At 37.9% G+C, this 24,873-nt stretch overlaps 1 protein-coding gene across 1 annotated transcript in view; it reads left to right on the top strand.

Annotated features, from left to right (window-relative positions):
* MTMR8 (myotubularin related protein 8) overlaps positions 1-24,873 on the top strand; it is a 127,372-nt gene that overhangs the window by 50,612 nt on the left and 51,887 nt on the right. The window contains exons 8-12 of the mRNA NM_017677.4: positions 1,121-1,230; positions 7,448-7,573; positions 8,713-8,762; positions 13,084-13,284; positions 15,941-16,069. Of these exons, the coding sequence (NP_060147.2) occupies positions 1,121-1,230; positions 7,448-7,573; positions 8,713-8,762; positions 13,084-13,284; positions 15,941-16,069 (616 nt within the window). The remainder of the gene's footprint in view (positions 1-1,120; positions 1,231-7,447; positions 7,574-8,712; positions 8,763-13,083; positions 13,285-15,940; positions 16,070-24,873) is intronic.

Raw genomic sequence — 24,873 nt, 5'->3', positions numbered from 1 at the left:
CAGTTTCATAATTCAATAAAGTTCATCTGGGTCTAGTTGGTATGAAAATTATTTCTCTCTGTGGAAATACAGAGGTTGATTTTCAGGGATAGGCAAACCAGCATAAGTATTAAATAAATTTGGGATTCATTTTATCATCCTTAAGGTAAGAAATTATCTTCTTTAATTTGGTATAAGGATTCAGTCTGATTTCATCACTGTGCTGATGAAGTTGAATTTAGACCTCAAAAGAATAAAGTTGATATCAGACAGTTTTGGTGATCTGTTATCGACTACAAAATGATTAGGGTCAGAAAGGGGGCAAGGTGGGATTGGGGCCTTACAAGACTCTTGGGTGTAGAGCATTTCTCCTAAAACCACTACCCAGGATTCCATGATGTTCTATGTCAACTCAGGCAGAGATAGTGAAAACCTGCCTTCTTTAGTGAACTCCCCATTCTTCCTCTTCTTTCTTCAACTTTGTACTTGCGTAGTCTGCCATGACCTCTCCTTTACATCACCCTTGCCAGATCTCATCTGCTCAGTCTGCATCCCTTTTAAAATATTAATATCCCTCTTCCTTAGGTCTCTTACTCCTTTCTTTTTTGCCCCAGAATATTTTATGGAAGAGGACTTTGTTTTACAGATTTTTAAGGCAAAAGATTTCCCTCTGCTGGATAATTATTGCAAAGTGCATAAAAATTAACTGGTATTTTTTTTTTCAACCTGTTGACAGAACAGGGCTACAGGGAGTAGATGGGGGTGTGGGAGTAGAGACAGATGCTGAGGGCCTTCAGAGTTAGCATAAGTGGGTGGGATTAGGATAGGGATCAAATATGTTTTCTAATCAGAGGAGGTGTGTTTTCCTGTAGATGCTAATTCAGTCTTCTGGCTCTCTTCTTGAGAGATTTCTAAGGGCTTGAGAGTGGGTTCTACAGCATGATAAAGCAGAGGCCCAGGCGAGGAGATCTGGTAGGCTTTAGACCTAGTTCTGTCCCTGACTCACTGTGTGGTTTCTAACTAATCATTTAACCTTTCTGCCTCAGCTTCCTCACTTACGATATGGAGATCCACTTTCTCCCCTTAATGAATAAACTGAGTTGATTGTGAATTTCAATCTCTGCTTCCTTTTCTACCTTAGTTTGTGAATTGAAAACTCCAACAATGAGTGAATTTCTTAGCGGCCTGGAGAGCTCAGGGTGGTTAAGACACATTAAAGCTATTATGGATGCTGGAATTTTCATTACAAAGGTAATAATCAGGACTTTTAAAATTTGCACTGACTTTAATTATGGGATATATTGAAGTAGTAGTGTGCCATGGTGGAAAGAATATTGAAAAGAAATCTAGTTTCTAGATTCAGCTCTGCCACTAATTCACTGTGTGCCCTTGGGCAAGTCTCTTTTCTTCTCTGGGTCTCAGTGTCTCCATCTTTAAACAAGGTGGTTGAACTATAATCTAATGATGTAACTTTTAGGTGGCCACAGAATTCTTTGGGAATATGATTAACCCTCTCCCCCACTGGAAAAATGAACATATGATGATACATACAGAAAATGAACCTCAATTTCAGGGGGTCCACAGACCCCTGGACTTCACATTAAAAACTCTTAGGTGATCTCTAATTGATAATTGATAATAATTGATCTCTAGCTCAGTTATTCTGTGATATATTTTTGTGTTGATTCTAAGGTATTAAGTACAAGGGTGGGTGTGAAATAAATGCAGAGCTTATGTATCTATGAGTTTTCAGAACTCTGAGTACAAAGACCTATTTTTTTAAACTTCTTTGTATAGATCTGCCTCCAAATGCAGTCTAGGCAGGCTTTGTCACCCTGTATTTATGCTGACTCATTTATTTTCTGATCTCTAGGACCCTAGGCTCTGTAGCCTTTGTTAAGTGGTTTGTTTTCTTACAAAAACAAAAACAAAATTCAGTGTATATTTTCTCATTTTGACGTTTTGTTTTTATGTATTTCTACATGAGTACTCTACCTCTTCATCCCACCCCCATTATTTGGTAAAAGCAAAGGAGATAATGACTTTTCATACATCTGCTATAATTTTCTCAGTTGAAGGCAATGTTATATATAACTTCTGGCTTAAAAGGTTTGAAGATTGTATATAATGAACTGCCTTAAATATCCAAGCCCTAATGCTTTTTGCTTTCCTAATCCTGTTGCCTGCACTTTTCATTGTTATTGATGTTCACTATGTGACCCTGTCAGTTGTTTCAAGCCCACTATTCTAACTATTCTTTGTTCTGTTCCTTTTTCATAGATTCTACATCCATATATCTATAGTCCCTTTCTGAAACCAAATTTATTAGACCAAAGAGAGTGAGGATGGATAAGAGGGAGATTTGATAGACAGTACAGCCTTATAAATATTGGTTGAATTAAAATGAATGAACCAAAAAGATAGGCTTGGATTGCACAGTGTTTCTGTGTTCCCTATCTCTGTTACCACCTATCCAATATCCCAAGCGTGAGAACTTCAGTCAGCCTTGAACTCTACCTCTTCTCCTCCATCTGGCTATTGCCAAGTCCCATGTGTTCTGCTTCAAAAGTGTTTCTCAAATCTGTCCTTTCTTCCCAGTCTCCACTGCTATTTCTCTAGTTAAGATAGCCACAATCCATTGTTCACAGTGTAATAACCTCTTAACTGCTTTACTTGTCTCTAGTAGTTACTCTTTAGTTCGGGAACCAAATTGCTACTAAAGTTATTTTTCTTGAACATGTCTGATCATGTCACTTTAAACTCAAAATCCTCCATTGGTTATCAATTCTATTGCCAATAAGACCCCATAAGCTTGACATTCAGAGTCTTTCACAATGTCGCCCCAGCTTGGCTGTAGTGGACCTCTTGCTGTTCTCTAACATACTATGTTACTTCTTTTTCTCTCTCTTTTTTAAATGTTTATTTTATTTACCTATTTTCTCATTACAAAAGCAATACATGTACATTATCAAAGAAGTAAACATTTCAGAAATATATAACATAAAATGTAAACATTCCCCATAGTTTGTACCACAGTGCATACACATCACTGATAGTAGTTTAATGTTTATGTCCTTCAGTCAGCACTGTCCATTTGAACTTTTTGTGATGATGGAAATATTCTGTATCTGTACTGTCTAATACAGTACCACTACATGTGGAAATTGAGCACTTGAAATGTGGCTAGTGAGACTGAGGAACTGAATTTATGATTTTATTTAGTTTTAACAAATTCAAATTTAAGTAGCTATAGGTGGCTGGTTACTACCATATTGGACAGTGCTGCTGTAGAATTTTTCAACATATAGAGTTACACATATTAATACTTTGTGAAAATGAGCTCATACTGTGCATACTCTTTTTTTTTTTTTTTTTTTTTTTTGAGACAGAGTTTTGCTCTTGTTGCCCAGGCTGGAGTGCAGTGGCACGATCTCGGTTCACTGCAACCTCCGCCTACCGGATTCAAGGGATTCTTCTGCCTCAGCCTCCTGAGTAGCTGAGATTATAGGAGCATGCCACCACGCCTGACTAATTTTTGTATTTTTAGCAGAGACGGGGTTTTGCCATGTTGGCCAGGCTGGTCTCGAACTCCTGACCTCAGGTGATCCACCAGCCTTGGCCTCCCAAAGTGCTGGGATTACAGGCGTAAGCTACCACGCCCGGCCCATACTGTTCTTTAATTGACCTTTTATACTTATACTATTTAATGAGCATTTCTTAAGACAGTTCAGTCAGTACTACGTCATTCTTTTCAGCAACTATGTTATATTCAATTGTGGTAACTTAGTTGTTTCTAATTTTTCGCTAATGCAGATATTGCTGCACCAAATATTCTTAAACATATATCTTTATAGAAGTGGATTTTCTGTGTCAAAGAGTATGAATATTTCAGATTTTAATAGATGTGGCCAAATTGCCCTCCAAGTAGGTAATACCAGTTTCCATTCCTACCAACAGTGCCTATTTCTCCATTTTGGCAGCAATGGTTATCATCAATCTTTTTGATCTTTGCCAATGTGATAGGTGATAGATTTTGTATCATGTTTTAATTTGTATTTCTTTAATCATTAGTGAAATCCAGTATCATTTTCTGTCCACCAGTGACTTTTGACTCTGTTTGGAGCCCTAAACAAAGAACATGGTTGCTGCCGTCATGTTCTGCTACTACCTGAGGTGTCTGCTTAATTGAGAAGTCAAAAAGGTTGAAAAACTTTTTTCCAGATCTCTTTAACTCCTTTTTTACCTGAAACCTGACTACCTTTCTAGGAATACGATTTTTTCTTGTACCCCTATTACAAAGATTACTCATTGTCCCACATCATATGAACCACATGGCCCAGGGCAGTTTCACTATTCTCCTTGCTCCTTACAAAAGCCTCCCCCTCCTTTCAGATCTATTTCATTTAGCTATACCATCCTCTATACCTTCTAGTTACTCTTCCCCCTCCATTAAGGATGTTGGGAACAGCCTTGCCGTCTTCTTTTCCATCCTGGTTCTTCCCGTCATCTGAAGAGATTTGAGTGTCAATGTACAACTTATCAAACATTCTACACTTACAGTTCTTTGGACTTTTTATAATTCCAGCTTTCACATCCTTAATCCAGCTAGCATAGTTCTTCTATCTCATGGAAACCTCTGTACTTTTAACTCCTCTTTTTCCAAACTTCTTTTTTCTTCCCTATATACCAAGACCGGGTGGTGTAGCACTTCATCCATTCCACCTTGTCTCTTATCCTTCCACTCTACCTGCCCTGCTAGCCACGGTCATTCTCTGCTCTTACACCCTGACCTCTAAGCATTGCTGCAAATAGATGTATCCCATAGATATGTTAGTTGGTACCATCACAGGTTTATGCCTTATAGTCTTAGCTGAGCTGAACAGTTATTTTATGTGTTTTTGGTTGGCTCCCAGTCCTGTTTCACCAAGCAGATATTCCTTGTACCTTGCTTTCAAACTGGCTACACCATGGTAACTCCCCTCTCTGTAAGCTCATATTGAAACATGTCCTTCATGGAAAAATGTATATAATACCTCTTCTCACTATTATCCTTACCGACTTCTTTGCTATCTCGGTGGACATAGTGCCCCATCTTCTGTGTAAGGATACTCACTCTACCTATATTTGAAATTCCATCTCTTCCTACTTTAAGGAACCAACTCTGTCAGTTAAACCCTCTTTGTCTTACATTTTCAACCTATTCTTTTCAACTGGCTTCTTCTCTCAGTAGTATGCTCAAATATTTTCTCATTCCTAAAGAAAAAGTACTTTTTCAATCTTCTAGTTATTGCCCTCTTTCCTCTTGGTTGGCGCCTTCTGAAAAGTAGTTAGTCTTTCCTATTAGTACTTCATCTCCCTTCACCTTTCAGCCCACTGTGATCCAATTTTCATATAATTACTATTGCTCTTCCAGAGGTCTTATGACCTTTGACTTGTCATATCTAAGAGTCACTTGTTAGTCTTCACTCTATTTTGACCTCTCTGTTGTGTTTGGCACAGTTCACTCCTTTTCACTTTGAACCCTTTTTGTAGTCCTGACTTTTATCCAACTATTCCCTCCTGGCTCTCTTTTTACCTTTTGGGCTTTTTTGAACAGGCTGACTCCTATAATAATCCTCCTTCCTCTGCTTGCCCTTTAAGGGTCACTGCTTTTTAAGGTCTTTTCTTTTGTCACATTTGGTCTCTGCCTGGGCAGCATCAACTATGCACACAGTGTATACTACTATCTCTATTCAGATAGTGGTGAAATCTATACTCTGGTTCAGATCTTTCCCTCTCCTGAACTTCAAACCCACATATCCAGTTGTCTCACTGGACTTTCCATTAGATGTTCCCGAACTACCTCAAACTCACCATGGCCAAAACATAAATCTTCTTACATACCACCACTACTACCTAAAACTTGCTTTTGTGTTCATTATTTAGTCTAATGGCACTACCATCCACCTGGTTGCTAAACCACACATTTCAGAGTTATCTTTAACTTTTCCTTTTCTTTCATCCCATGACTAGTCTCTCACTCTGTCCTGTTAAAATGTTCATAATTAAAATCCTTCTTCTGTTTTTCAGCTCCACTGCTACTACCTTACCTCAGGCCTATATGGACTTCCACGATTTTAGTAGCTTCCTAACTGGTCTTCCTGTATCCAAACTCATGTCTTCTCAATCCATTCTCCTTACTGCCACCACAGTGATCTTTCAAAGATGTACATCTGATCATGGCACTCCTCTGCTTCCAACTCCCTATTGCCATCAGATAAAATGTATACTTGATTGGTCTGACCCTTGTCCTCCTAGCTGGCTCTATCTCTCCTTATTCTCTCACTTCCAGCTTAGCCTGAGTCATTAATTGTTCTTCCTCTATGTCATGCCTCCTTGCAATGTACACGCTGTTACATCATTCCCCAGCCTGGAATGTCCTTTCCTCCTGGTCCATCTGGTAAATTCTTATTCATCTTTCCAGACCCACCTTAGTTGTCTCCTCCTTGCTGGTTATCTTTTGTGCCTTTGTTATACCTGGCATGGATTTTCCCCTTTTATTTTTCATTGGTTTGCAGTCATGCATTTAAGTGTTTGTCTCTTTTGTATTCCCAATGCACATCATAGTGCCTCTTGTACAGTCACTCAGTAATTATTGGCTAGGTGTGTGGATGAATGAATGGGTGAATTAATGTCCTTCTTCACCTAAGGAAACCCAGCTCTTTCTTCAAGGGTCAAGCTTCCCTGGCTCCTGCAAAAGAATATTGTTACTACACATTACTGTATATTACCAGTAGTTTTTCCATTGTATTTTAATTATTTATTTATTTTCGGTCACCCTGACTAGTTTGTGGGTTCCTTGAAAGCAGAAACTGAGTCTTTGTATTTCTAATACCTGGCACATAGAGGCACAAAATTGTTAGAATGAATAAATGAGTGGTCAATATGTACCATTGCCAAAATTTCCCAGGTTAAATAACTGCCCAGATCTTTACATCATTCTGATTGTGTTTATACAATCACTTGTTAAAGCGACCTAAGACAGGCAAGCACCTCCATCTTAAGTTGAAAGCATTTGTGTTAGTAACACTAAAACAGCTAGAGGAGATTGTTGTCAGATCTGGGACTAGAATGCAGAGCTGTCTGTGTTTTTGAGTGTGAATTCTTCCTCCAGTTCACCTATTCCTCTGAGAATTGATCCTTGGTTTCTTCAGAAGTTTAGTGAATTTAGAACTCCCCTCATCTTTCTTTTTGCCCTGCATTATGGGTTAGTTTTGATATTCTTTTCCTATGTGGTAAGCTCTCCTTCTCTTGAACTCCATTGTTTTCCTTTTCATTCCCCATAGAGGATGTTAATGTTATGAGAAAAAATTAATGTAGCCCATAAGACCAGGTTCTCTGTGCTTTAGGGACAGTATTTGGCAACTCTTTAATCCAACAAGCTGTGCAAAGGTTGCTTGTGGTACTTTTTTGCCTCTTGTCTTCACAGGCAGTGAAGGTAGAAAAGGCCAGTGTCTTAGTCCATTGTTCTGATGGATGGGACCGCACAGCACAAGTCTGCTCAGTGGCTAGCATCCTCCTAGATCCATTTTATAGGACATTCAAAGGACTCATGGTAAGAGAGCACGCTACTATATTTTACTTTGTGTAAGAGACAGATTGCGACAAAATAAAAAATAACTGTCAAACAATATTTTTTTTGCCAGAGTTAGCTCTAAGTCTACAAAAATAGCTTTTCCAATTTAGCTTCTTTTCATTAAATTTAGGTGTGTACTATCTGTATACTTTCTTTTGTATGTTCAACATACTTCTTACCTATCAGAAGGTAAGTTATATGTAGCAGACTACTGTACAGAGTAGGAAAAGCTCAAAAAGTTTGCAGAGCTTAATGGATGACTGTCAAATAGACTGTCCAAGGGGCTCATCATCTTTAACATGTCAGCTGTTTGAATGTCAGACTTATGATTGTTTTCTAATGCTGAATCTAAAGCCTCTTAGTTGATCTTTCTAAGAAACAGAACTCACCATAGTGGTTTATTCTCATTTCTTTGGAAAGCTTTTTTTTGTTTTGTTTTGTTTTTTTGTTTTGAAGTAGTCTTACTCTGTCACCCAGGCTGGAGTGCAGTGGTGCGATATTGGCTCACTGCAACCTCCACCTCCTGGGTTCAAGTGATTCTTGTGCCATAGCCTCCCAAGTAGCTGGGATTACAGATGTGCACCACCATGCTTGGCTAATTTTTGTATTTTTAGTAGTGACTGGGTTTACCACATTGGCCAGTCTGGTCTCAAACTCCTGGCCTCATGTGATCTGCCCTCCTCGGCCTCCCAAAATGCTGGGATTACAGGTGTAAGCCACCATGCCTGGCTAGAATTTTTTTTTTTTTTTTAATGGTTAAAAATGGTTTTGTTACTGGTATAAAGCTAAGAGCTGCCTTTGGATTTCTGTTTTTCAAAGTGTGAATTTAATATCGTGCTTATCAGGATTGCATTTAGTTATGGCTCAGTGGCTTGTCACACATGTGAAAGCCAAAGGAAATTTGACTCTGGATATGTCTGAGAGCATCTGAAATTTGAAGGCACCCTGTATAGGCTTATGAATGAAATCTAAGTTACTTACTTATTTATCATTTAGGAAATTAACTATTTTATGATCAGTTCAACTATTTCAGCAAAGTGTTTTGACATTCTTGTGTGTATGGTTAATTCATTTTATGATTTTCCTAATGCAAACACTTTCTTTTCTATAAAATGAAGATCTTGATAGAGAAGGAATGGATATCCATGGGCCACAAGTTTTCCCAAAGGTAAAAATATACTCATTTTGAAGGAAGGGGCTGAGGATAGTTCATTAGGGTGAAGTATATCAAAACCTCAGTATGTACATGTAAAGGAAGGAAGAGGAAGTTGAACATGGCATAAATCTCTTTTCATCAAGAAACAAGTATTCTAGATACTATGCTAGGGCACTAAGGTGACAAAAGTAACCAGAATATTATCCCTGTTTTCAAGGAGTACAAGTAATTATATCAAATTGTTAAATATTTCAAGGAAGAACAAGGCATCACAGGCTACAGAAGGAAAAGTGCTTAACATTGCACGAAGAGGTCAGGGTAGGCTTCCAGGAGTACACAGCATTTGAGGATGAATTTTTGGAAATGAATAGAAATTTAACAGGAAGAACAAGGGAATGATGAGGTCATTCAGAGGGACTAATATCAAGACAATGCACCTTTTAACCTTTTGTAAGATAAAAGGGGCAGATTTGTTCTTTTTTAAGGGATGAGGACAAGGGCTTATATTTATCTGTTGTCTGCTATAAACCAAACTGCCTCACTAAGGCTTTACCTGTGTTATCAGAACAATCGATAAATATTTGTCAAATGCCTAACAATGTGCTGTATATTATATCAGACACTAAGCTGATTCCAAAGGCAAATAAAATTTGAGATTTGGCCGGGTGCAGTGGCTCATACCTGTGATCCTAGCACTTTGGGAGGCCAAGGCGGGCAAATCGCCTGAGGTCAGGAGTTCGAGACCAGCCTGGCCAATATGGTGAAACCCCTTCTCTACTAAAAATACAGAAATTAGCCAGACATGGTGGCGGGTGCCTATAATCCTGACTCCTTGGGAGGCAGAGGTAGGAGAATCACTTGAACCCGGGAGGCGGAGGTTGCAGTGAGCTGAGGCCATGCCATTGCACTCCAGCCTGGGTGACAAGACTGAAACTCCATCTCAAAAAAAAAAAAAATTGAGTTTTACCCCAAGGAGATTATAATTCAGGTCTTATTTTCCCCCATTGATATGCATTAATTTAATTTCATTTGGTTGCCACTCTCTAGCCATTTGGGTCCATTTATTTATTCTTCCTTCACCCACAAACATTGGACCAGTCATTATGTTAGGTATTGAGAAGACAGAGCTGAATCAGATATAGTTCCTATCTCATCTTTGAAAGAAAAGAAAAATCAGTGATGACGGTGTAGTATGATAAGTGCTTAAGACAGAGGAAAACATAAACAAAGGACGTTTATCCATTCTGGGGCAAAGAAGGCTTCCTGTAATAGGTGACATTTTAACTGAGATTTAAAGTATGAGTAGATGTTATTTAGAAAGGGAGAAAGCATTCTAGCCCTGATGTGTTTGAAACCATAAAGGCATTAAACAGGATTACGTGTTTGAGGAGCTGCAAGCAATTCAGTGTGGCTGGGTCAAAGGGTGTGTAGGGAGAATAGAGGAAATGAGGCCAGGGAAGCCGAGCCAGTGAGGAGAAGATCATTCAGAGCCCTGTTTTTTTTTTTTTTTTTTTTTTTTTAAGCTGAAAGATTTGAGTGTTTTGTGTACATAGTAAAGCTATATTGGAGGACTTTGAACAAGGCAGTGACATGATGTTCAGATCTATATTTTACAAATATCCCTCTGACAGCATGTAGAAGATTGAAATTGGTGGCAAGGGGCTGAATTAGTAGGCTACCAGAATTGATGAGGGCCTGAAAAAAAGACAGAAGCAATGATATAGATACAAGGGTATTCAGGAAGTAGAACTCACCAGGAGATGGGAGAAAAAGTCCAATAAAACTCAAAGGTTTCTGCCTGAGGTAGCTGGGTTTATTGAGATAGAGGATATAGGATAATACAGGGCAGGTTTGGTGGGGAAGATGGCTTCAGTTTGGGACTTATTTGGCATAGGGCATCCAGGAGAAGATATCTAGTAGGGAGACTATTCAGTAGTAATCTGGAGCTCACTAGTTCTGGGTTGGATAGAGAGGTGGTGTAGAGGTTTAAGAGTTATCTGCATATAATTGGTAGTTTAAACCATGGATTCAGATAAGGTAACTCAAAAAATTGTATAAAGAGGAAGAAGAGCCAAGGGGTGGGACAGAGCCTTGGATAATACTGACACCTGAAAGTCTAGTGAAGAATGAAGTCCATGAAGTTGACTGTGAAAGAGTGATTAGTGAGATAAGAATAAATCTAAGGATAGGAAAGAAGAAACATAAGAGAGGAGAATCTCAAGGGAGTAGTCAGCAGTGTCATATGCCTCAGAATAACCCAAGAATCGACTTTGGCAATATGCAGGTTTTAATGATCTTTAGTGATAACTGGTTGAGCAAAGTGGTGAAAGCAGAAGCCAAATGTTTGTGAATGGAGGCATGAGTGAGGGATGAAGAAGTGGAATGTGAGTATATAAATCTCTTTCCAAGAACCTTGGCTCTCAAGGGGGTAGAAGAGAAGGGGTCGGGTTTGGGTCTGAGGAAGTGTATTTCAAGACAGGAGATATTTGAGCAGTTTCTTATGCTGAGAAGAAAGAAACATTAAAGAAGATAAGGTGGAAGATATGCCAAAACAGTGAGTTTTTGGTAGAGTAAGACTTCTGGGCAAATCGGTGAAAGTTCCAGTCCAAACGAAAGATTAGCTTGAGCTATAATGAAGAACACCTTTTCCATGGAGATTAGGTGGAAAGACAGGCAGAAAAGGTGCTATATGTGAATATTAGAGGCAGAAGTTAGAAATTTTTTTTTCTACTTAATGGCCTTGATATTTTTCAGTGGCACTGGAGTGAAGGAAGATATGAAATGGATTAGGGGTTTGACAAGGTAGTTGAAAATTTGTATGAGCTGTAAAGGTAATGAGAAAATGTTGTTAAGGACCTACACAAAGATTATTTGAGAGCAGTTAAAACACAGCTGAATGTGGAGACTCAATTTGAATGGTGTGAATTTGTATGATTTTATAATTTTCTTGAGCATTATTAATCAGTCAGGATGTGGAAGCAGAGAACATAGCTTTTCAGGCTGATCTGTGGTTGGATTTAGAAGGAAAATAATTACAAGAAAGACCAGAAAGCTGAACAAAATGGGGAGAGAGTAGTTAATAGGGCAGATCATGGAATTTAGGCTTGATAAGAAAAAAGAGAAGCCAACAGGAATCTAGCATGTGGAGATGTCCTGAGATGAGGTCTGCAGGAGTTAAGAAGATGAGCAGCCTTTGGAAATATAATATATGGTGTTCAGAGTGGGATATCGTGATTAAGATTTCAAAGATGGAGTAAGAACTACTAGCCAGCCTGTGGCCAGTGGATTCAAAAGGCTGGAGTAGAGGTAAAGATCAGTGAAGGTAATTTGATTTGCGTTAGTTAAGGAATCTGTTGAGCTAGTGTAAGTCATCTACATCAACACAAAAGCTTAAGACCATCAGATTATTCAGAGAATGTAGGGAAGTGACACAGAGATTCTAGAAGACAGCATTGTGGAAGGAGAAGGTAAATAAGCTAAATAGCATGACCCATAAAGGAAGTGTTCTTAAGGGCATGAAAAGAATAGTAGCTTGGAAGCAGCAGAAGCAGCAGTAGGTGCAAGGAGAAAGCTAAACCCACCTCTGCTTTGTTTTAGAATTATGGTATGTGGAAAGTGGAATGATCAGCATTCTCCATTTTTATTTGACCCCAAGGAAAGGTGGTATCGTTGTGAGCCAGGTTGTAATTATATCAGAAGGTAGAGAACATTCAGTGTAGAAACTGAGAGTGCCGTGTTCATTTCCAGTGGAATAGTGTTTCAGTCGATGATAGGGTTGGTAAAGAAAACATTGTGGGGAGGAAATATTAAACAGTTCTGGGATGAGGTTTCATTCATGTACTTAATAAATGTTTCTTTAATACCTATTTTGTGCCAGGCACTATGCAGTAAACAATATAGATGTGGTCGTTGCTCACATAGAGCTAAATGTAGCTATTTAAATTAAATTAATTAAAATTAAATACAATTAAAAATTCAGTTCCTCAGTCACAGTATCCACATTTCAAGTGCTTAACAGTTAGTGGCTGCTATATTGGACAACACAACTGTAGAAATTTTCCATCATTGCAGAAAGTTCTATTGGAAAGAGGGTGTATAAAAAAATAGACTAGATGACCAAAGGGTTTACAGTATGGATGACAGTGAAGGACACCAGCAGCTAAGAGGTCTGCTGGGATTGACTAGCTTTGAGATTCTGGCTGGCATTTTGGTATGAGGTGTTTCCTTGCCACTACCAACAGAGACAAAAGATGACCCTCTTACAGCCTATTCCCAACAGTGTAATCCTTAATGCTAACTAGTGTCTTTCTTTACCTTTATTTTCATCTCTCAGGTGTGGCCACCTCGATGGGGACTCTAAAGAAGTGTCCCCTATCTTCACCCAGTTCCTAGACTGTATCTGGCAATTAATGGAACAGTTTCCCTGTGCCTTTGAGTTTAATGAAAACTTCCTGCTGGAGATTCATGACCATGTTTTCTCCTGCCAGTTTGGAAACTTCCTTGGTAACTGCCAGAAGGATCGGGAAGATCTAAGGTGAATTTACTTTGTGAGAAGACACTGAACAGGGAGAAGGTGGTCAGTGCAAAAAGAATGTACCTACCACCCTGAATTTGGCATAGCAGTCAAGAAAGGGGAGGAGATAACAATAATAAAAAGAACTTTTGAAGCATAAAGCACTCAATGTTTGCACAGAGATCTCTCAGAACCCTAAGATATCTCATCTGTAAAATAGGGATAATAATGCCTACTTTTTAGAGCAGTCATGAGGATCCAGTAAAATAATGGATGTACAAGGCCTTTGCAAATAATTAATTGCTGTGCAGGTATGAGTAGTCATTATCTACAGTCCTTTCTCACTCATATCAGAGATTACAAACTAGCAGCTCATAGGCCGAACCCAACCCAACAGGCGTGGTTTGTTTAATCTGTGGAGTATTTTTTAAAACTCCTAATTCGTTGCCGACATTTTTGTTTATTTCCGTAGGTTTTTGAGGAACAGGTGGTATTTGGTTACATGAATGAGTTCTTTAGTGGTGATTTGTGAGACTTTGGTTCACCCATCTCCTGAGCAGTATACACTGAACCCAATTTGTAGTCTTTTATCCCTCACCCGCTTCCTACCCTTTCCCTCTGAGTTCCCAAAGTCCATTGTGTCATTCTTATGCCTAGTTGCTAACATTTAAATATCAGTAGATTTCACATTAAAATCCAGTTATTTTAGGATGTTTTTTCTAAATATTCTGAAAAATCAGGAGCTCTGGCAATACTAGACTATTTTCTCATGATAATAAACAGCTAGAGCTGAATAGTAGCTGTTCCATTTGGATGAGGCAAACTCACTCTTGTTGACTGCAGTTCTTACCATTCTCTATAGTTTATTCTTAGCCCATTTCTAATGTTATCTGCCTAGTTCTAGTAGGCAGTTGAGTTTGCACCCCTCACTTAAACTAACAGCTTGGCAATATATGAGACATAAGTACTTTTCAAAATTGACAAGGTAGAGCTCCTGTGAACAGTATTTTCATTATGTTAGAGACAGAGAAAAAGAAATAGGATAGTAGCTGTTTCACAACTCACTCCTATTTCACAGCTGTTGGCTGAGTTAGTAGTTAGCCCAACCCTCAGGCCCCTTTATAGCATAGCAAGATGAAGTTACTTCTCTGTGATTTGGTTTTCCTGTCAACATAGAGAACAATAATGAGTCTTTCTGTTTCAACATTTGTACTTACTTGGTAGTTTCTCTCTTGATGCCATGCATGTTTCTCTCTCTCTGTCTTTACAACTAGACCTTTGTCACTTTCTCCCCAAATTCTTTTAAGATATTCATTCTGTCTTTGTTTACCTACGCGTTAAAACACAGAATCTTTTCCATAATCTTTTTCCTTCTCTTAAAATTGGTCAATATATGTGGTATTTTTCACACAAATCTGAATATCCATTTAAAAAACATAACAGTTGAACATTTTAACATATTTTAAAATAGTGATTACTTAAAATAAGCAGAAGTGTCATTCATTCATGAACAGAAAAGGATGGGCTTTAGAATCAGGCAGACTTGGGTTCAAACTTTGGCTCTCTCACCTACTAGCTATGTGACCTTGAGCAAATTAATATTTAGTCTCATTTTCTCATTAGTAATTTTGGGCTAAAATATCTCACAAGGTTTTATTGGGAAAATTTAAGGAGGTATTTTAGGTAAAGAGTCTGGAATAGTGTTTGAACACATAGTAAATACTCAACAAATTAGTTACCTTACCAACGCAATATTTTTTTTTTTCTGTTATAAACCAACAGCAAATGAGAAAGATGGATGTACAAAGCCTTTGGCCTCACTGAAATGCTCTGACAATTGCAAAAGTTACAAGACCACAATTTTAGGTCTTACCACTTATATCACTCTTCAGTTCTCCTTTAGCTTCCTTTGACATGGTGTGTGTGCAAATGACCTTCTCATGGGTGGTTATACAGTAACTCTCTTTGGGAACCAGTGGATCTCATGTATTTTGAGGTGTTAACTAAGGGACTTGCTTACTGGTTAAGCAGCCTCCCCATGGTCTGAACTAAAGTATAAGAATCAATTTTGTAATATAAATGCCATAATCTTTAGTTGCCCACCTGGGATAACTCATGACATTTTCTAGTATAAATTTCCAATTGTCTTTCACTGTCTTAAACCTTCTGAAGGGAGAAGTAGCTGGCTTTAAGTAAAATGAAATATAGAAGAGCCAGAAATTCACCCCATAGAACCTATCACTTAACTTACCAGACTTGTAAAAGCAATTCCAGAATTTTTAAAACCAGAAAAGTCATTAGTTCATAAAATCCTTGATTTGGAAGATAACTTAGAGGTCACATTTAACGGTGAGGAAATAGGCCCAGAAAAAAACTCGGGATTTTCTTAAGATCACACAGCTATTCCACACAGAGACTGGACTTAGAATCTCCTGTTCTCCAATATGGAACTCTTTCTAACCTCTCATTTATTTTAAAGATGGATAAATTGAAGCCCAGATAATTTGTTACTCCATCAACACTTTTTATCCACTTATTTTTCTTCTGTCATATCCTGTCGTCCTTTCTTGAGCTGGGTTACTTATTAGTAAAATTTGCTGCTTATCAGTTCAACAGGACTATTGAGATTACTTGCTTCCTGCTTTTAATTTTTTGGCTTGTTTTTCTTTTCTAACAGAGTCTATGAGAAAACACATTCTGTGTGGCCTTTCTTGGTTCAGAGGAAACCAGACTTCAGGAACCCTCTCTATAAAGGCTTCACTATGTATGGGGTACTCAATCCTAGTACTGTGCCCTACAACATTCAGTAAGTTCTTAAGTTTTTCCCTCCTTTCTTATAGCAGGTCCCAGGGTCTCAGCTTCCTTGCTTCTCCTTGGATAGCTGCCACCATCTGTACAAGCCTGGCTATGGAGTAGGATACTCTGTCCTCATATCACCCATACATTGCTGCTTCTGAAAACAAGAGCCCAATTCCTTTTGGTTTTCAGGGCTTTGCTGTTACCTGCTTAGGGAAATAAATAAGAAATTATAGTTGATTTGTAGGAATACAACCAGTCAAGATAACGTTTGTTTGATTCATTTACTCTTCCTCTGTATCTTCTACTTGTCTTTCCCTTCCCCAACAAAGAAAAGAAAAATGAGACAAATCAGGAGTGTGCTGGTAATGTTTGCTATATTTTTCCAAAGCTTCTGCAGGCTGAGGCACTCACAAAGAATACAAAACAGAGATTAATATATTTATTAGCTCTAATAGCTCATTTTGTGGATTCTTTAGGATTTTGTAAATATTAGATCATGTCATCTCTGAAAAGAGAATTCTATTTCTTCATTTTCAATTTGGATGTCTTTTATTTCCTTGCCTAATTGCTCTGGCTAGAACTTCCAGTACAGTGTTGAGTAAAAGTAGTGAAAAGAGGCACTGGTGTCCTGTTCCTGATTTTAGGGGGAAAGCTTTCAGTCTTTCACTATTGAGTATTGATGTTAGCTGTAGGTTTTTCACAAATTTCCTTTTTCATGTTTAGGATGTTCTCTTCTGTTTTCAGTTGAGTATTTATTGTATTTTTTTGCTATTACATTTTAAATTTTAATTGACACAATAATTGTACTACATATGAGGTATAGAGTGATTATGCTGTATTTGCCTTTGTGTGGCTGGCTTATTTCGCTTAACATAATGTTCTCCAACCTCATCTGTGTTGCTGTGAATGACAGCATTTCTTTCTTTTTTATTGCTAAAATAGTATTTCCTCGTGTATGTATACCACATTCTCCTTCTCAATTCATCCATATGGACACTTAGGTTGACTTCATATCTTGGCTATTGTGAATAGTGCTGCAATAAACATGGGAGTGCACATATCTGTTCGACACAATGACTTCATTTTCTTTGGATATATACCCAGTAATGGGATTGCCAGATAGATCATAGGGCAGTTCTCTTTTTATATTTTTAGGAAGTCCATACTGTTTTTCATAATGAATGTACGAATTTACATTTCCACTGATAGTATGTGAGTGTTCCCCTTTTTCCACATCCTTGTCAGCACTTGATATGTTTTGTCTTTTTGTGAATAGCCATTCAAACTTGGTGAAATGATATCTCATTGTGGTTTTGATTTGCATTTTCGTGATGATTGGTGATGTTGCATTTTTTTCATATACCTATTGGCCATTTGTATATCTTCTTTTGAAAAGTATCTATTCAGATCTTTTGCCCGTTCTAAAATCAGATTGTTTGCTTTGCTATTTAGTTGAGTTTCTTATATATTCTGGTTATTAATCCTTTTTAGAAGGGTAGTTTGCAAATATTTTCTTCCATTCTGTGGGTTATCTCTTCACTTTGTTGATTGTTTCCTTTACTGTGCAGCAGAAGCTTTTTAGTTTGATGTAATCTCATTTGTCTACTTTTGCTTTTGTTACCTGTGCTTTTAGAGTCATAGCCAAAAAATTGTTGCCTAGTCCAATATTATGAAGTGTTTTCCCTATGTTTTCTTCCAGTAGTTTCATAGCTTTCGGTCTTTCATTTAAGTTTTTAATCCATTTTGAGTTGATTTTTATATGTGATGAGAGATATGTACCTAGTTCCATTCTTCTGCATATGGGCATCCATTTTTTTTTCAGCACCATTTACTGAAGATTGTATTTTCCCCAATGTTTGTTCTTCACACCTTTGCCTGTATATGCATTTTTTTTCTGGGCTCTCTATTCCATTGGTCTGTGTGTCTATTTTTAGATCAGTATCATTCTATTTTGGTTGCTATAGCTTTGTAGTACATTTTGAAGTCAGATAGAGTGATATCTTCAGCTTTCTTTCTTCTTTTTTTTTTCCCCACAAGTTTGCCTCAGCTATTCGGGATCTTTTGTGGTTCCTTACAAATTTTAGGATTCTTTTTTCTATTTCTGTGAAGAATGCCATTGGTATTTTGTTAGAGATTACGTTGAATCTGTAGATCACTTTGGGTAGTGTAGACACTTTAACAATATTAATTCTTCCAGTCCATGAAGATGGGCTATCCTTCTGTTTATCTGTGTCCTCTTCAATTTCCTCCATCAATGTTTTATAGTTTTCAGTGTGAAGATCTTTCACCTCCTTGGTTAAACTTATCCCTAAGTATATGTTTTTTGTAACTATTGTAAGTGGGATTGTTTTCTTGATTTCTTTTTCAGATAGTTTACTATTGATGTATAAAAATACTGCTGATTTTTGTATCTTGCAACTTTACTGAATTTGTTTATTAGCTCTAGCAGTTTTTTGGTGGAGTCTTTTGGGTTTTCTGTATATGGTGGACCCTTAAACAACACAGATTTGAAATGTGTGAGTCCATTTATATGTGGATTTTCTTCCACCTCTGCAACCACTGAGTCAGCAAGACCAACTTTTCTTCTTCCTCTTCCTCCGCCTACTCAACACAAAGATGATAAAGATGTAGATGTTTATGATGATCCATGTCCCCTTAATTAATAGTAGATGTATTTTCTTAATAATAATTTTTTCTTTAGCTTAACTTATAAGAATACAGTGTATAATACATATAATATACAAAATAGGTGTTAATCAATGATTTATGTTATTGATCAGGCTTCTGGTCAACAGTGGGCTACTGGTAGTTAAGTTTTTGGTAAGTAAGAACTTATATATTGATTTTCCAGTGTGCAAGGGTCTGACACTTCTAACACTGGTATTGTTTGAGGGCCAACTGTATACACTCATGTCATCTGCAACCAGGGATAGTTTAACTTCCTCCTTTCCAATTTGGATAGCTTTCATTTCTTTCTCTTGCCTAATTGCTGTGGCTAGGAATTCAAATACTAAGTAGAATAGAAGTGGTAAAAGTAGGCATTGTTGTCTTGTTCCCTATCTTAAGGAAGAGCTTCCAACTTTTCCCTGTTCAATATGGTGTTAGCTGTGGGTTTGTCATATGTGGCTTTTATTTGTAGTGAGGTACATACTTTCTATACATAATGTATTGTTTTTATCATGAAGGGATATTTAATTTTGTCAAATGCCTTTTCTTCATCTATTGAAATGATCATACGGTTTTTGTCCTTCATTCCATTAGTGTTCTGTGTCACATTTATTGATTGGCATATGTTGAGCCATTCTTGCATCCCTGGGATGAGTTCCACTTGATCATAGTGAATAATCTTTTTAATGTGCTATTGAATTCTGTTTGCTAGTATTTTGTTGATGATTTTTGCATTTGTGTTCATCAGGGATATTCTTTTTTAATTGTGTCCTTGCCTGGCTTTGCTATCAGGGTAATGCTATCCTTATAAAATGAGTTTAGAAATATTGTCTCCTCTTCAGTTGTGCCGACTAGTTTGAGGAAAATTGGCATTCATTCTTTAAATGTTTGGTAGAATTCAGCAGTGAAGCCATCAAGTCCTGGGCTTTTCTTTGATGCGAGATTTTTATTACTGCTTTGATTTCATTACTCACTATTGGTCTGTTCAGATTTTCTATTTCTTCATTCTTTAATCTTGGAAGGTTGTATATGACCAGGAATTTATCCATTTTTTATAGGTTATCTGGGTTTTCTGGCATAGAATTGTTCCTGATACTGTCTTGTGATGCTTTTTATTTCTGTAGCATCAGTTGTAGTGTCTCTTTTTTTGGTATCTAATTTTACTTGAATCTTCTCTGTTTTTTCTTAGGCCAGCTAAAGGCATCTCAATTTTGTTTATCTTTTCAAAAAAACAACTCTTTGTTTCATTGATCTATTTTATTTTAAACCTCTCTTTTTTTTTTTTTTTTTTTTTTTTGGTGAGCAACAAGGCTGTTTATTTCACCTGGGTGCAGGCGGGCTGAGTCCGAAAAGAGAGTCAGCGAAGGGAGATAGGGGTAGGGCCATTTTATAAGATTTGGGTTTCTTTTCTTTCCTTTTCTTTTTTTGAGACAGGGTCCTGCTCTGTCACCCAGGCTGCAGTGCAATGCCACAATCATGGTTGACTGCAGCCTTGACCTCCTGTGCTCAGGTGATCCTCCTGCCTCAGCTCCCTGAGTATCTGGGACTACAGGTGCATGCCACCACATCTGGCTAGTTGTTTAATTTCTTTGTAGAGATGGGGGTCTCACTATGTTGCCCAGGCTGGTCTTGAACTCCTGGCCTCAAGCAGTCCTCCCTCTTGGCCTCCCAAAGTGCTGGGATTACAAGTGTGAGCCACCAAGTCCGTCCTCTTTCTTCTCTTCTCTTTTCTTTATTTTCTTTCTTTCTTGAGATATGATCTCACTCTGTTTACCAAGCTGCAGTACAGTAATGCAATCATAGCTCATTGTAGCCTCAAACTCCTGAGCTCACATGATCCTCCTGTTTCAGCCTCCCAAGTGGCTAGGACTACTGGTACATGCAACCACACCTGGCTAATCTTAATTTTTTGTAGAGATGAGGTCTTGCTTTGTTGCCCAGGCTGGTGGAAACTCCTGGCTTCAAGTGATCCTCCCACTTTGGCCCCCCCAAAAGTGCTGGGATTATAGGCATAAGCTACTGTGCCTGGGCACTTTCATTTATTTCTACTCTTTATTATTTCTTTCCTTTTACTAGTTTTAGGTTTACTTGGGTTTTAAAATGTTTAATTCCTTTGGTGCATTGTTAGGTTTTTATTTGTGATCTTTCTTCTTTTTCAATGTAGACATTTATTGCTATAAGATTTCCTTTTAGAACTGCATTAGCTGTGTCCCAAGGATTTTGGTATGCTGTATTTCCATTTTCATTTCTCTCAAGAAATTTTTAGACTTCCTTTTAATTTCTTCATTGACCTGTTGGTCATATAAGAGCATGTTGTTTAATTTCCATGTGTATTTGTGAATTTTCAGAAGTTCCTGTTGTTACTGATTTCTAGTTTTATACCATTGTGGTAAAAAAAAATATACTGGAAATGATTTTGGTTTTCTTAAATTTGTTAAGGCTTGTTCTACAGGCTACCATATGATCTGTCCTAGAGAAAGTTTCATGTTCTGTTGAGAAGACTGTTTATTCTGCAGCTGTTTGGTCGAATATGCTGTAAATGTTTGCTTGGTCCATTTGATTTAGTGTGTCCTTTAAATGTGATGTTTCTTTATTTTCTGTCTGGATGATCTGTCCATTGCTGAGAGTGGCATGCTGAAGTCTCCTTATATTATTTTATTGCAGTCTATTCCCTTAGATCTATAATAATTGCTTCATTTACTTGGGTACTCTGGTGTTAGGTGTATACATATTAAAATTTTTCGTATCATCTTGTGGAAATGACTCCTTTTCATTATATAATGAACTTCTTTTCTCTTTTTATAGTTTTTGCCTTAAAGCCTATTTTATCTGTTATGATTATAGCTACTCCTGCTCTCTCTTGGTTTCCATTTGCATGGAATATCATTTTCCATCTCTTCACTTTCAGTGTACCTGTCACTCTGAGCAGGTACCCCCTGGAATTGGTATGCCTGGTTGGTAAGTATGTAGGCAGCAGAAGTCTGCCAGTTTGGGGCAGGGCTCCATGGAAGCAACATGTCTGGCTGGTATGCCATTGTCACACGGGGGCCAAATCACCAACTTGGGGCAGGGGCACCTGGAAGCAACATGCCTGGCTAGTGAGCGCACAGGGTTGCACATGGACAGTGAACCTGGCTGGTGAGTGTGCTGACTGTGCACATCACTGGGCAGTACTCAGTTTCTTTACTTGGCAAGATTACCTATTCCTCTAGGGACAGAGTACCACTTGCCTTTGTGCTGGAGCAGTGGACTTAGGCTCTGAGAGGCTAGGGTTGGTTGCTGCAGTCACCTGAATGTGCAAGACAGAGCCCTTCCTAGGCAGCTTATTCTCAGAGGATAGAGTGCTGTAACAGCTTGGCTGGGGAATGGTGCACCACCACTAAGGTGGTGTAATGGCAGTGCAGCTTCAGCAATGAAAAGATGCAGTTATTGCTGGCTCTTGGAGCAGGATACATGCTAGCTGTGGCTCTGTTTTCAAGATGGCACTGTATAGCTGCAGCTTGGGTTTTGGTGAGGGAAAGGTGTACAGTGAGTAATTAAATTGAAACCATAATAGAAAGTCTCCAATCAAAGAAAAGCCCAGGACTTAATGGCCTCACTGCTGAATTCTACCAAACATTTAAAGAACAAATACCAATTCTTCTCAAACTAGTCAACAAAATTGAAGGGAGACAATACATCCAAACTCATTCTATAAAAACAGCATACTCTAATACAAAAACCAGAGAAGGACATAACAGTAAAAGGAATATCCCTGGCCAATACCCCTGATGAACATGAATGCAAAAATCCTCAACAAAATACAAGCAAACAGGGCCTTGTCATGGTGGCTCACACCTGTAATCCCATCACTTTGGGAGGCTAACGTGGAGGATCACTTGATCCCAGGAGTTTGAGACCAGTCTGGGCAACATAGTGAGACCTCGTCTCTACAAAAAAAAATCAAAAAATGAGGCAGGAGAATGACTGAAGCCTAGGAGATCAAGGTTGCAGTGAGGCATGGTTGCACCACTGCACTCCCACCTGGGTCACAGAGCAAGACCCTGCCTCAAAAAAAAAAAAACAAAAATACTAACAAACAGAATTCGACAGCACGTTAAAAACATAATTCATCCCAAGGATACAAGAATGGCTCAACATATGCAAATCAATAAATGTGATACAGAATGCTAGTGGAATGAAGGACTAAACCCTATGATCATTTCAACAGATGAAGAAAAAGTATTTGACAAAATTTAACATCTCTTCATGATAAAAACTTAACGAATTATGTATGGAAAGTATGTACCTCAATACAATAAAGACCACATATGACAAACCCACAGGTAATACTATATTCATCAGGGAAAAGTTTAAAGCTTTCCTACTTGGAGTTTATTGAGCTTTGTAGATATGTAGATTAATGTCTTTCATCAAATTTGTGACATACTCTGTCATTATGTCTTGGAATATTCTTTCCGCTCCTTTCTATCACTCCTATCCTTTTAGGACTCTCTCTGTGCACTTATTGGTCTGCTTACTAATCTTCTACAGGACCCTGAGGCTCTTTTCATCATTTTTCTTTCTTTTTGTCTCACAGACAGGGTAACCCCAATGGACCTATCTTCAAGTTCATTAATTCATTCTTTTACCTGCTGAAATCTGTTGTTTAACTGTTCTAGTGAGTTTTTCATTTCAATTATTGTACTTTTCATATCCAAAATTTCTGTTTTGTTTTGTTTTTATTATTTCTGTCTCTTTATTGATGCTATCTATTTGGTGAGATACTATTCTCCAGGTTTCCCTTAGTTATTTTTCTATGGTTTCCTTTAGCTGTTTGAGCATATTTAAAACAGTTGATTTAAATTTGTTGACTAGCAAGTCTAATATCTGGGTTTCCTCATAAACAGTTTCTATTAATTGTTTTTCCTATGAATGGGGCATACGTTTTTGTTTTTTTTCTGAATGCCTCATAATTTTTTGTTGTTGTTGTTGAAAACTGGGTAGTTTCAATATTATAATGTGGTAGAAATCAGATTTTTACCTCTCTCTAGGATTTTTTGTTGCTACTTGTTGTGGGTTGTAATTGTTAGTTTAGTAGCTTTTCTAAATTATGTTTGTAAAGGTTGTGTTATTTGCCACATGTAGTCAGTGAATTCTCTGTCAGTTAGCTTAGTTCTCAGATAGTGATTTCGCAGAGATTTCCTTAAATTCCAGAAAAATAACAATAGTTCTCCTAGTCTTTGCAGATTGGCTTTTTGTTGGTGTATTATCTTCAATGCTTAGCTGGGCCACTTATATTTTAGCCATGTCCTGCTTCTGTAGAGCTTAAAAGTAAGCCACAGGTGAAAGCTTAGGGTCTTTTCACATATTTTCTGAGAATAGGTCTGACCCTCAGCATGTATCTGACCTCCTACATTCCCTGATATTTGCAGGAGCTTTCCAGAGCATTTTTTTTCTCATGTATCTGCTTCCCCAGCCTTTTCCTTCCCAGGCTTTTTATTCTGTCTGCTGCTTGCTCCATCTATTATCCCTTGCCTCAGTTGGCTGTGGCTAGTACATTTGCCTTTAAGTGCTTTCAACAAATATTATGAAAAAGGCCACTCTAGCTCTGAGAAAGTTCCAAGGTGGGCAAAATAAAGTCAAGGTCCTGAGCCCATACCTTAGGGAGCTACCAGGCAGGCCAAAATATATAACCATAGTTTTCTGAGATGAAGATGTATATTGCTTCCCTTGCAGCAGCGAGCCACATCAGTAATGTAGACTACCATCTCCAAGGCCGCCACTAAGCTGGGGAATAGGGGATGGCAGAGAGGGAAGTCAGCATGTTGTATCACTCTCTTACCAAAATTTAGTAGTCTCTTAAGTCTCAGGATACAAAATCAATGTGCAAAAATCACAAGCATTCTTGTACACCAATAGCAGATAAACAGAGAGCCAAATCATGAATGAACTCTCATTCACAGTTGCTTCAAAGAGAATAAAATACCTAGGAATCCAACTTACAAGGGATGTGAAGGACCTCTTCAAGGAGAACTACAAACCACTGCTCAACGAAATAAAAGAGGATACAAACAAATGGAAGAACATTCCATGCTCATGGATAGCAAGAATCAATATCGTGAAAATGGCCATACTGCCCAAGGTAATTTATAGATTCAATGC

This window comes from Homo sapiens, chromosome X, assembly GCF_000001405.40.
Source record: "Homo sapiens chromosome X, GRCh38.p14 Primary Assembly".
NCBI classification, from domain to species: domain Eukaryota; kingdom Metazoa; phylum Chordata; class Mammalia; order Primates; family Hominidae; genus Homo; species Homo sapiens.
This window is presented reverse-complemented; position numbering and strand designations above follow the sequence as displayed.